General features: G+C 35.1%; 1 annotated feature.

Annotated features, from left to right (window-relative positions):
- Nucleotides 9,368–9,545: a silencer, noted in NCBI's record as "fragment chr14:85147676-85147853 (GRCh37/hg19 assembly coordinates)". NCBI's record gives its function as "represses an EF-1alpha promoter that drives an FKBP-Casp9 reporter gene in an ReSE screen in HepG2 liver carcinoma cells {active_cell/tissue: HepG2}" and the evidence as "EXISTENCE:reporter gene assay evidence [ECO:0000049][PMID:32094911]".

Here is a 12,748-nt window from a genome sequence, read left to right as displayed (position 1 = left end):
ATTAGTGATGCTATATGAGGAATCCTGGTGTTGGAATTGTCCATAACTTGACTTGGTAGTGAATTCATCATGAACCTTCAAATATGACAAAATTGTGTAGAACTGAATACATATATACATATACAAATGAATACAAGTAAAGCTGGGGAAATCTGAATAGAATCAGTGGATTGTACAACATCATGGTTATGTCTGGTGTGTGCATCTCTCTGTGTGAATCTATAACTGTCTTAATCATTCAATTAAAAAATTAAAAGTCCTCCTTATTACTCCTTAATTATCTCTAAGGCTTCTTCTTAACTTTGCCATAAAAATTATGTCAACATAAATGGTATATAGATTGTGTTTTAGGCATCTCATCAATTTATTGAATTTTTCTTCATGTTTCTATGGTAATTACTGTGACATAATTGATCATAGAGAAAAAAAAATTTATCAAATCCTTTTATGTAAGTCAAACATTTAGATGAACTGTGAATCTTTTCAGATAATACCATAGTACTCAACATTCATAGCTGCAGAATCATTATGGAAATCCTTACCTTAAATTGTGGTTGAGCTCATCTAATATAATTTCAAGTTGATTAGTTCTAGTGATTGAGGCAGCCCTTCTGGATCAGTGTCTGTAAAACCATCAAGTAGATAAACCATGCTCAACTATTGATCATAAATCATAAAGATAAGAATTTAATGTTGTATGTAGAAAAATGATTCTTAGATTCCAGAACAGAATTATTAACCTACATTTCCCTAGTATTTTGTTAATTTTTATTTTTATGTTATTGCATTTTTTGCTCATAATAGCATTAAAACTGATATTAATGAATAATTCCTTTATAAATATATAAGCTGAACATTCATCACATCTAAAAATTACTAAGAAAAAAAATCTCTAAGAAAATAAAAGTGATTAAAAAATCAAAGTATATACTTTATATTTGAAAGATACCTGTTTTTCTCTAGTAATCACTCATAGAAACTGCAAAAAGGTGGAAGGTAGCTTAAATATTAGAGTAAAATACTCAGACACATTTTGTCTTCCTTTTATATATTTTATATTTTCTAATTTTTTTTTAAAAAAATAGTGCTTTGTGAATGAAATTTTCTTGTTATTCAGCCAAACTTGCTAAAAATAATAAATTCCAAGTGTAGGCGGATTAAAAATTGATTCTGAATTTTAAAAGCACATATAATATTGAAATCTAAGGAACATACTTCTTCACAGTGTTCGCAGAAATGGTTGAGATATCATTTGGCCATCTCATAAATCAATATTTATTCAGATCCAATGAGAATTAACAGTTCATTTTTTTAACCAACCCAAACTGATTTATTCTATTTTCTGGCTAATGTTAAGTACAATTTTGATGGCAGTCAATATTTTGTCTTCAGAATGATTTTGTTTGGTCTGCTATTGCATGAAACTCAAAGGTCACAAAAGCCATGGACCCTGAAGCATGATAAAAGGCAGAAGAAGAATGCTATGTTTCTACTTAAAGTTTCTTTTCTGCTGATTTTAAAAGTGCTAGATCCCCAGAAGACATACTGTCTCAAAGAATAAATGTTTCATGTGTTTTCCTTGATATCATGACTACTTTATCCTTTTGCCTTGCATATGGATCAGATAACAGGATGCAAGATTGGTGATTGATTTTATGTTTTGTTAATTGGCACAAGTTATCACTTGGGTATTCAGCAGACAAAACAGATGATACATGACTCAACAAATAAACTAAAAAGGCACTGTACAAATGCCAAAACATTTTATAATATTTGAGATGTTTAATTTATCTTGTGACAAAATATTTGCTATAAAAATCTTTCATCAATATTGTGAGATAGGACATTATGATAGATTTCTTGCTAAAAAAAGGTGATATATACAAATACATGTTTTGGAATGATGAAGATTTATGAATAAAGAATAGTTACTGGCATCTTCATACTATTTTCAGTGATATTATCTTCACTATAAATTGTGACTGTCAGTCCCACTGAGAGGTCGAGACCGAGTTTAGCTCACTTTTTCCTTAAAAATCATGAAGGGTATGAGGAGAGTAATGTAAATTATGTCCAGTGGAAAACTGAGCTGTCAGAGAGGGATATAACACTTAAAGTTCTCTATAAGATGACTCCTTATCTTAAAAGATAATTTCAATAATCATATGGTGATACATTTTATGTTTTATTCATAAAAAAATTCCAGTTTCATCTAAATGTACAGCAGAATCGTTATCCTAGTATTTTAAAACTCTTAAGGGAGAACTTCAGGGCTTTTGGGTTGATGTTTAGTTTAAAAAAAAAAAAGCAAACCAGTGAGATGAATTTATTGGAGCAGTTTTCTCATACTCACTTGGCTCCAGAAGGACTGAAGTTAATGCATGCTATGTGAAATGTGACGTTCTCTTGGTTATGGACCAAAGAGACTATAAACTGGAGTTCATCATATCGAAGATAGTGTTTACATTTTTTCATCTTTGTACTGAATTTAGGCTCGGCTTCTTGGGATACTTTTAGTGCTCTCCCCGGACTGAAAAAGTATCTGACTGAACTATCCACATGTCATTTCTCTAACCTTCCCTAAAATCCAAGGCATCAATCAAGCCCACAACATTGACCTTAGACAAGTCATCAGCAAACCTAACGGCATATTTTACTTACGCCTGAAGTACCCTCCCCACTGAAGGATTGTATGATAATCTCACCAATATCCATTTGACCTCTATCTCATTGTAGCAAAGGTACCATATTAGGATGTGGATACCAATATCAAGGGTGAACTCTAAGAGACAGACTCTGCACTTCAGCAGCCATGTTTAGGCCAAGTAGGGCATAATATTCTTCAGTTACAGTAAATGTTCTGGACCTAATCCTAGTTAAAGACATTTAAGAGAGTGTGCTGGGGATTTTGTTTCCTTCTTTATGTGAAAAAGCCACATGATGAGATGACCTCTTTTCCTCCAGTTACTTTTGTGCAGAGATGGAGCTCCAGAATTGTTCCAACCATTTTGCTTAACAAGAAACCAAATCAGACTTAATGAGAGTCAAAAGAAACTGCAGAAGACCTAATCCTAGTTAAAGACATTTAAGAGCGTGTGCTGGGGATTTTGTTTCCTTCTTTATGTGAAAAAGCCACATGATGAGATGACCTCTTTTCCTCCAGTTACTTTTGTGCAGAGATGGAGCTCCAGAATTGTTCCAACCATTTTGCTTAACAAGAAACCAAATCAGACTTAATGAGAGTCAAAAGAAACTGCAGAAAAAGGAGATGGAATTCCTAAACTTGATCAACCCCAAAGCCTTCCCTACCTCTGGACTTCCCAATACCAAAACAGTCCCTTTTTGTTTAAATTATTTGTATTTAGTGGTCTGTTACTTGTAGCCAAAGTCCTTCTAATGTACAGTTCTCTCTACCCATTCTTCAAAATTCAACTAAATTAGACCACTTTATAATAATAATCATTGATGTTTGTGGAGCTTTTACTAGATACCAGATGCTGTTTTCTGACTGTACTTTGCGTGGATTTACTAATTAATCCTCTTAACTTTGTGAAAGCATTCTAATATTATATTCTAAAATTTGTAAGTGCACAGAAAAATCAAGTAACTTACCCAAGATTCTAATAAATAGTAGGAAGAATAAGCAATAACCTAGCAGTATTATTCCAGAAGTCTCATTCTCAACCATGACATAACATTGCCTCATTATATGCTAACATTACCATCAGCACCCTATAAACTCTTCTGTTAGGATTCTTTTGCATTTATTGTCTTAACTGAACAATTAGTACCGATATTAAATCATTCTCAGCTAACCCATTTTATAGCTATTATTTTATATGTGTATCTTTTCCTTTTTGATCGGTTCTCTTTGGAATGGACATGGTTTGCAGTACTCTCACATTTTATAATATTTTGCAAGCATAAAGAATCCAGTATACATAGCAATATTGATACAATCTCAAAATCTTACGAAGTTCAGCAATAATAAATATAGTCGTCACACTGCAATACACTTGAACTATGGGCTGTTATTAGGACAACTACCTTACCTCCTACCTCTTCATTCTGTTGCTGAACACTCCCTTACTTCCCCTACACAATTAAGAATCATAAGATAGGAATTCTTCAACATCCTTATCTCACCACACTTTCAACTAAATTACATCACTCTAATGTGTGCTCTCATTAATTTTGTATAAGGCATATTTTTCTATCATTACTCTGCTTCCCATCTCCTCTTAAGTGCCAGATGATTTTGGTTCATTGGCTCTTGGATTTTTTTTCACTTACACGTATATAATAGACAATTTAAAATTTTATAAATATATAAAGTACAAGTATTATGATTTATGAATATAATGTAAAATAATTAAATCAAGCTAGTTACCATATTCATTATCTCAAATGTTTAACATTATTTGTGCTGAGAACATTAGGAATGTACTCTCCTAGCAACATACAGACAGTCTTCGATGTATGATTTTTCAATTTTACGATGAGTTTATCAGGACATAACTGAATTACAATTTGAAGACCTCCTAACAATTTACAATGAGTTAACAATTTCTATTGAATGTCTATCACTTTCACATCATTGTAAAGTCTCAAAATTGTAAATCAAACCTTCATAAGTAAGGGACCATCTACTGTGCTGCCCTCTTTAAAATAATTTGAAAATATCCCCTCCTTTTCAATTTTTTGAAAGAGTTTGAAAGAAAACTGGTATTAGTTTTTCTTTCAATGGTTGATAAAATTCAGCCATAAAATCACTAGGTCCTGGAATTTTCTTTGATGGGAGACTTTTCGTTACTTAATCAAAATTCTTGCTCTTTACTGGTTGGTTCAAATTTGCTATTTCTTCATGATTCAGTTTTGGTAGGTTGTATGGGTCAATAAATTTATTTATTTCTTCTGTGTTTTCCAACTCATTTGCAATGTGTCCTCATTCATTTCTGACGTAAACAAAATTTAAAAACCTTTAGCAAAACTAAAAAGAAGCCTCAAATTATTTACTTATCTTTTTCAAAAAATAACTTTTTTTAATTTTTTGAATTTTTTAATTGTTTTTCTCTATTTATACTCTGATCTTTATTATCTCCTACTTTCAGCTATATTTTGGCTTAATTTTTTCTTTTTCTAGTTATTTTCTTATTCATTTAATCACCCTATTCTTTTTATTAGAGAATTTAATCCATTTATATTCAAAGTCACTAATGACATTTCTCCCCCACACTGTTTTTTATTTCATAATTACGTTATTTCATAATTTGTTTTCCTTTAAAATTTATTTTAGCTATACTTATTACCAGTAGTTTTATCTTTTAACCTTTGTACTATAAATAAACTTGCCTTACACAACATTATTATAGTACTAAGATATTCTTAACATGGCTCAGTTTTACTTATATCCTTGAGTTTTTACATTTGTGTGTTTCGTGTTACTAATTAGCAGCTTTTTTTTTCAGTTTAAAAAACTCTCTACTTTCTCAAAGATTAGATAGTTGTAGGTGTGTGGCTTTATTGCTGGGTTCTCTAACCTGTTCCATTGGCATATATGCCTATTTTTACACCATTACCATACTGTTTCAGTTACTGTGGCCCTTTAGTATATTTGAAGTTGGGTAGTGTGTCAACTCTGTCAAAGACCAGATGGTTATAGATGTGTGGCTTTGTTTCTGGGCTCTTTATTTTTTACCATTGGTTCACATGTTTGTTTTTGTACCACTGCCATGCTGTTTTGGTTACTGTAGCCTTGAGTATAGGTTGAAGTCAGGTAATGCAACATTTCCAGCTTTGTTGTTTTGCTTAGGATTGCTTTGGCAGACTCTTTTTTGGTTTCATATGAATTTTACAATAGGTCATTCAAATTCTGTGAAGAATGTCATTGGTAGTTTGATAGAAATATCATTAAAACTGTACATTGCTTTGGGAAGTATGGTCATTTTAACAATATTGATTCTTCCTATTCATGAGCGTGGAATGTTATTCCACTTGTTTGTGTCATCTCTGATTTCCTTCAGCAGGCTTTTGTAATTCTTTTTTTTTTTTTTTTTTTAAGACAGAGTTTTGCTCTTGTTGCCAAGACTGGAGTGCAGTGGCGCGATCTTGGCTCACCGCAACCTCCTCCTCCCGCATTCAAGCGATTCTCCTACCTCAGCCTCCAGAGTAGCTGGGATTACAGGCATGTGCCACCAAGCCCGGCTAATTTTGTATTTTTAGTAGAGATGGGGTTTTTCCATGTTGGTCAGGCTGGTCTCGAACTCCTGACTTCAGGTGATCCTCCCACCTCAGCCTCCCAAAGTGCTGGTATTACAGGCATGACCCACCTCGCCTGGCCTATAATTCTTATTGTAGAGATCTTTCACCACCCTAGTTAGCTGTATTCCTAAATATTTTACTTTTTGTGTGGCTGTTGTGAATAGGATTGCATTCTTCATTTGGCTCTCAGCATGGACGCTGTCCATGTGCATGTAGCATAAAAATGCTACTACTTTTGTACATTGATTTTGTATCCTCAAGTTTTAGTGAAGTTGTTTATGAGATCTAGGAGATTCTTGTCAGAGATTATGGGGTTTTCTAGGTATAAGATCATAACAAAAACAAACAATGAGGAAAGGACTCTCTATTCAATAAATGTTCTTGAGATAATTGGCTAGCTATATGCAGAAGATTGAAAATGAACTCCTTTCTTCACCACATACAAAAATCAATCAAGATGGAATAAAGACATAATTGTAAAACTTAAAATTATAAAGACCCTAGAAAACCTAGGAAATACTATTCTGAACATAGTCTCTGGCAAAGATTGTGTGAAAACGTGTCCAGGCCTGCCACAGTGGCTCACGCCTGCAATCAAAGCACTTTGGTAGGCCAAGGTGGGTGGATCACCTGCGATAAGGAGTTCAAGATCAGCCTGACCAACATGGTGAAACCCTGTCTCTAGTAAAAATACAAAATTAACCTGGTGTGGTGGTGCATGCCTGTAATCCCAGCCACTCGGGAAGCTGATGCAGGAGAATCGCTTGAACCCTGGAGGGAGAGGTTGCAGTGAGCCGAGATCGCGCCATTGCACTCCAGCCTGGGCAACAACAGTGAAACTCCGTCTCAAAAAAAAAAAAAAAGAGAGAGGGAGAGAGGGAGAGAGGGAGAGAGGGAGAGAGGGAGGGAGAGAGAGGGAGGGAGGGAGGGAGGCAGGGAGGGAGGGAGGGAGGGGGAGGGGGAGAGAGAGAGAGAGAGAGAGAGAGAGAGAGAGAGAGAAAGTGTCCAAAAGCAATTGCAACAAGAACGAAAATTGACAAAAGAGTCCTAATTAAAGATCTTCTGCACAGCAAAGGAAACTATCAACAGAGTAAACACACAACGTGGAGAATGAGATAAAATATTTGCAAACTATGTATCTGACAAAAGTCTAATATTTAGAATTTATAAGGACTTAAACCAATTAATAAGCAAAAAAATGAACAACCCAATTAAAATGTGGGCAAAGGACATGAACAGATAGTTTTCTAAAGAAGACACATATTTGGTCAATAAGCATATGAAAAAAAAGCTCAATATCACTGATCATTAGAGAAATAAAAATCAAAACCACAATGAGATACCATCTTACACCAGTCAGTATGGCTATGATTAAAAGGTCAAAAAGTAACAGATAGTGGTGAGGTTGAGTAGCAAAGGGACAACTAATATACTGTTGGTGGAAGTGTAAATTAGTTCAGCCATTGTGGAAAGTACTATGGTGATTCCTCAAAGAGCTAATAACAGAATTATCAGAATTAACAGAATTATTGACCCAATAATCCCATTACTGGATATATAACCAGAGGAAGAGAAATAATTTTACCATAAAGACACATGTATGCAAATGTTCACTTCAGCACTGTTTACAATAACAAATACGTAGAATCAACTTAAATTCCCATCAAAGGTAGACTGGACAGAGAATGTGGTAGACATCTACCATGGTATACTTTGCAGCTACAAAAAAGAATGAGCTCATATCCTTTTCAGCAACATGGATGGAGCAGGAGGCCATTATCCTAAGCATATTAATTCAGGAGTAGAAACCAAATATCTCATGCTTTCACTTATAATTGGGAGCTAAACCTTAAGTATACATGGATACAAAGAAGGAAACAATAGATATTGTGGCTTATTTCAGTGTGGAAGGTGGGAGGAGGGGGAGGACTGAAGAACTACCGACTAGGTACTGTGCTTATTATCTGGTTGATGAAATAATCTGTACACCAAACCTCCATGACACACAATTTATCCAAGAAACAAACCTGCACATGTACCCCCCTGAATCTAAAATAAATGTTGGAAAAAAAAAGAACTCTCTATCAATTTTTGTAAGGCAGGTCTGATGGTGATTAACTCACATAGGTGTTTTTGTTGTTGTTGTTGTCTGGGAAAGTTTTTTATTTCTTACCCATTTCTGAAACTCACCTTTGCTTGAAAAATTATTCCTCATTAAAACTTTTACTTTGTTTATTTCAAGCACTTTGAATATATTATATAACTGTGTCCTGGCCTGCTGTGTTTTTTTTCCCCCACTAAATCTACTCATAGTCATACTGACACTTGTTTCTATGCAATGTGTTTCTTTTCTCTTGTTGCTCTCAAAATGGTTTGTCTTTGATTTTTGATAGTTTGAATATGTGCTTAGATATACTTCTTTGGGTTGAAAGTGATTGGGAATCTTCATGCTTACTGTACTTGGGTGTTGGCATCTATCCTCAAATTAGAAAATTTTTCTGTCATTTTATTTAAATGTGCTTTCTGGTTTTTTAGCTTTATCTTCTTCTAGAACTCCTATTATTTGAATATTTAGTTCCTTGATTGTGTCCCATAATTCCCATAAGCATTCTTCATTTTTAAAAATTATTTTATCTTTTTGCCCCTCTGACTAGACAGTTTCAAATGGGTGTCTTGCAGCTGATTCTTTCTGCTTGAGTTTCCTATTGAAAATTTTAATGATTTTTTTCAATTAATTCATTGTGTTATTAGTTGAGTTTCTGTTTATTTTTATTGTTCCTTTTTTTTGCCAATATTCTCAAATTTCATGGATTGTTTTACAAATTTCATTAAATTTTCAGTAAGCATATTATAGTTGGTCACACCACTTTATAAGTATTATTCTGAATGCTAGGTCAGTCATTTTATAGATCTCAATTTCTTTGTGTGTTCCATTATTGGAGCTTTATTAGTTTCTTTTCTCTTTTCTTTTCTGTTTTTTTTTTTTTTTTTTTTTTTTTGAGACAGAGTTTTGTTCTTGTTGCCCAGGCTGGAGTGCAATGGCGTGATCTTGGCTCACTGCAAACACTGCCTCCCGGGATCAAGAGATTCTCCTGCCTCAATCTCCTGAGTAGCTGGGATTACAGGCATGTGCCACCATGCCCGGCTAATTTTGTATTTTTAGTAGAGATGAGATTTCTCCATGTTGGCCAGGCTGGTCTCAAGCTCCCGACCTCAGGTGATCCACCTGCCTCGGCCTCTCAACGTGCTAGGATTACAGGCGTCAGCCATCAAGCCCGGCCACTTCATTAGTTTCTTTAGAAGGTGTGCTAATTCCTTAATTCTTCGTAATCTTTGTATCATCTGTTGCATTGTTTTCTGCACATTTGAGAAGATAGTCCTTCCTTCTGTCCTTTATACATGTTCCTTGGCAGGGACAGAGCTTCACTATTTTGTTTAGCCTGCAATTCTTGAAAGGCCAGCTGATGATGACCCCAGCCTAGCAGAATTTGTTGTGAATTCTCTAGTTTCTGGGGTGCTGCCTTTCCTCTGATGTCAAGTGAGGCTGTTGGCAGTTATCCACTATCAGGTGGAGCTACTGGCTGGGTATTATGAGGGCTTCTAGCCAGGTCAATCACAGGATGTATTCTAGGGTTGGACAATTCCACTGTTTGGGGTCTTCTATTGGACAGGGCTATAGGCTGGGCTTTAAGGTTAGGCGAAATTATTGCTCAGGAAAGGCAGGAAAGAGGCTATGCTCCTTAGAAATGCTCAACTGAGGATTGCCTCCCTGTCAAGAGAAGCCACGGTGTGGGCTTTTGGCTGAGTTGAGCAGCTGTTTAGCTTTTTTGGTAGAGTTAGCCTCTATAATTTTCCAAAATCTGTGTGGAGGTGAGAGTATCACTCCCTAGGCAGGGTTATAGAGCAGGCTTTTTGGCTGAGTAGTACTACTGCTTGACTTCCTGGGTCAAGCCACTCTAGCCCACATCCATGTTCAAGATGCATGAGAGTGGAAGTCTCTCTTCCTGAGCAGTCATTGGGAAAGCCTAATGACTGAAAAATGGAGACGCCTCTGGGTCAAGCCAGGCTAGTTTCATTGCTTCTCTGAAATACGTAGGAAGTAGGAGTCTCCCTATCTGGTTGAGGTGAGACTAGAGTGGGCTTCCTTGGAAAAATTTTGAAATGCTAGGGACACTAAATTACTACCTCTCGTCCTCTTTTTCTCCCCATAGAAACTGTGGTACAGAAAAATCCTCTCCATCTGGTGTTCTGCCAACTTGTGGGATGGGGAAATGGTGCAGTTGGAGTAAGATTGTTCTTTTGAGCATTCTAATTCAGATTCCATCTAGTTCTACAGACCGCATTAGTATATGAGGCTTTTTTCCAAGTGCTGGGGTTTTAAAAAGATGTTCTAGTCTGTGGATAGTTGCTAGTTGAACTTTCTGCAGGGGAATTGGAGCCTGATACTTCTTATTTTGTCATCTTGGTGATGTCATTTCTCTCTCTCTCTCTCTCTCCATATATATATATATATATATATATATATATATATATATATACACACACACACACACACACACAACTTATATCCCTATTGGTTCCTTCTGCTTGTAAACTGTGCTCAAATCCCATCTGGGGAATAACTAAAGAGACGCTGTGTTCCACTCCACACCCCCACTCAGCTTCTTTCATATTGTTCATCTCTTTTGATAGCCAAGTTCTCTGAAAATGCCTTCCTTCTCATTTTCTATTCATATTTTTTCTACCTTTTTTTTTTTCACTCCAACTCAAGGGAAACTAAATCTGTGTTGCTAAAGTCATTACAGTGGCCTTTTAAATGACTGCACTTTCTGCTTCATTTTTTTCCCATTAGATGTTTACTTCAGTAGCTTTCTTATTCCTGAGCTTCACACTCTTCTCTTTCTTTGTGTGACTTCCTAACTTCCTATTAATCTGCTTTTAGATATTTACCTATGAGATTCTCTTTCTCTGTCAATACTTCAGATACTAGTGTTTCTCATGCTTATACCTGGAGATTTTCCTTATTCTCATTTTTTAAAAAAGATTAGTTGCTAATTAGGATTTTTTTTATTTGTTTTTGTTTTTAGTTTCTGAAGAGTAGAAGTCCTTTTCGTGAATTATCCCTTGCCTGATACCTGAAATGTCAACATTAGTACTAGGCTTTTAAGCAAAATATTCTGATTTCTGTAAGAATAAATCATAGCTTCCCTTATTTATCTTTTAATAAGAATAATAGTCAAACAACATGTGCTATGTGTGGTCAATGTTAGAAAGTGGAGAATGATTATAGTCTTATGTTGTGAGGATATGAGGGGCAACTCTCATCCACTTAGCAATTTTGTTGATGATGCTGACTAAACAAATAATAAATGTTTCCACCATTAATGTCTCAGGCTAAGGTGACTTTTCAATACCTACTTTAAATTATATCCTCCTAATACTGAAACCACTATAAAGAAAATTTTAAAAATTCACTTTAGCGTAAAACATCATATTTTAAATGCTCTAATGATTGGAAAAAGGGAAAGAGCTTTAAAGGATTGATGGGAGTCCCTGCTGCAGAGCTGTATTATAATGTATGCTCTACTTTAGACTTTGGCTCTTAAAATGATTGTTACCTGTGAAGGAAGAATTTTAAAAATTTCAGAGAGCAAGGATGGAGGGAGGAAAGGAAGTAAGTGGAGGAAGGAAGCAGCAAAAAAGAAAAGGAAGAAGTAAAGGAGAAAGGGAGAAAAGAGAGAGAAAGTAGAAAAAATTAAATATATATATGAAATTCTATTAGTGTTCCTCACTTAAAAGCCCATATGGGGATAAAACAAAGAGGGAAAGAAAGCTTACTGGCTGTTAATGGATTAACTAAGGGAGTCTCCTAAAAAATGTTGCTGTATTGTTTATTTTATAAGGGGAACCCATATTACCTTTAAGTCTCCTTTCCCATGGCCTACGTTGTCTAAACTTGCACTACATTTAATCAAATTTGATGAGCTGCATAACAAAGGAGGAATTCCAGATAGTATTTACCCTCATTCTTTTATTCCCTGGGCAGACACAGGGAAGAGGCCAAAACATGAGGCTGAGGAATGAAGACATTTCAGAATAATACATTGACCTCTAGAACAAACTGGTTCCACGTGAAAGTATTCACGTTAATAAAAAGGTTAGTATCATTAATTCCATGATCTCTTGTTTTGACAGCCAAGATGAATCTATCTGTTTTCTCAAACATTCTATCCTCTTCCAGAATGGAGATCACATCTACAATCATGGCAGTGAGTCAATTAATACATTTTCTTGAAAGGATATATAAAATAATGACCATCGGACAAATAGCGAATGGATTCCAAGCATTAATAATAACATAAATCTTTATAATTGTTTTACAAATGTGTGCAAAAATTTCCTCCCAGTCTTTGTCTATATCTATACTTACTTTGAATGTCACAAGCAAATGAGCTGACACCATCATTGCAAAGTGTCATGCAAAGTA

The sequence above is a fragment of the Homo sapiens genome, chromosome 14 (assembly GCF_000001405.40).
Source record: "Homo sapiens chromosome 14, GRCh38.p14 Primary Assembly".
Taxonomy (NCBI): domain Eukaryota; kingdom Metazoa; phylum Chordata; class Mammalia; order Primates; family Hominidae; genus Homo; species Homo sapiens.
This window is presented reverse-complemented; position numbering and strand designations above follow the sequence as displayed.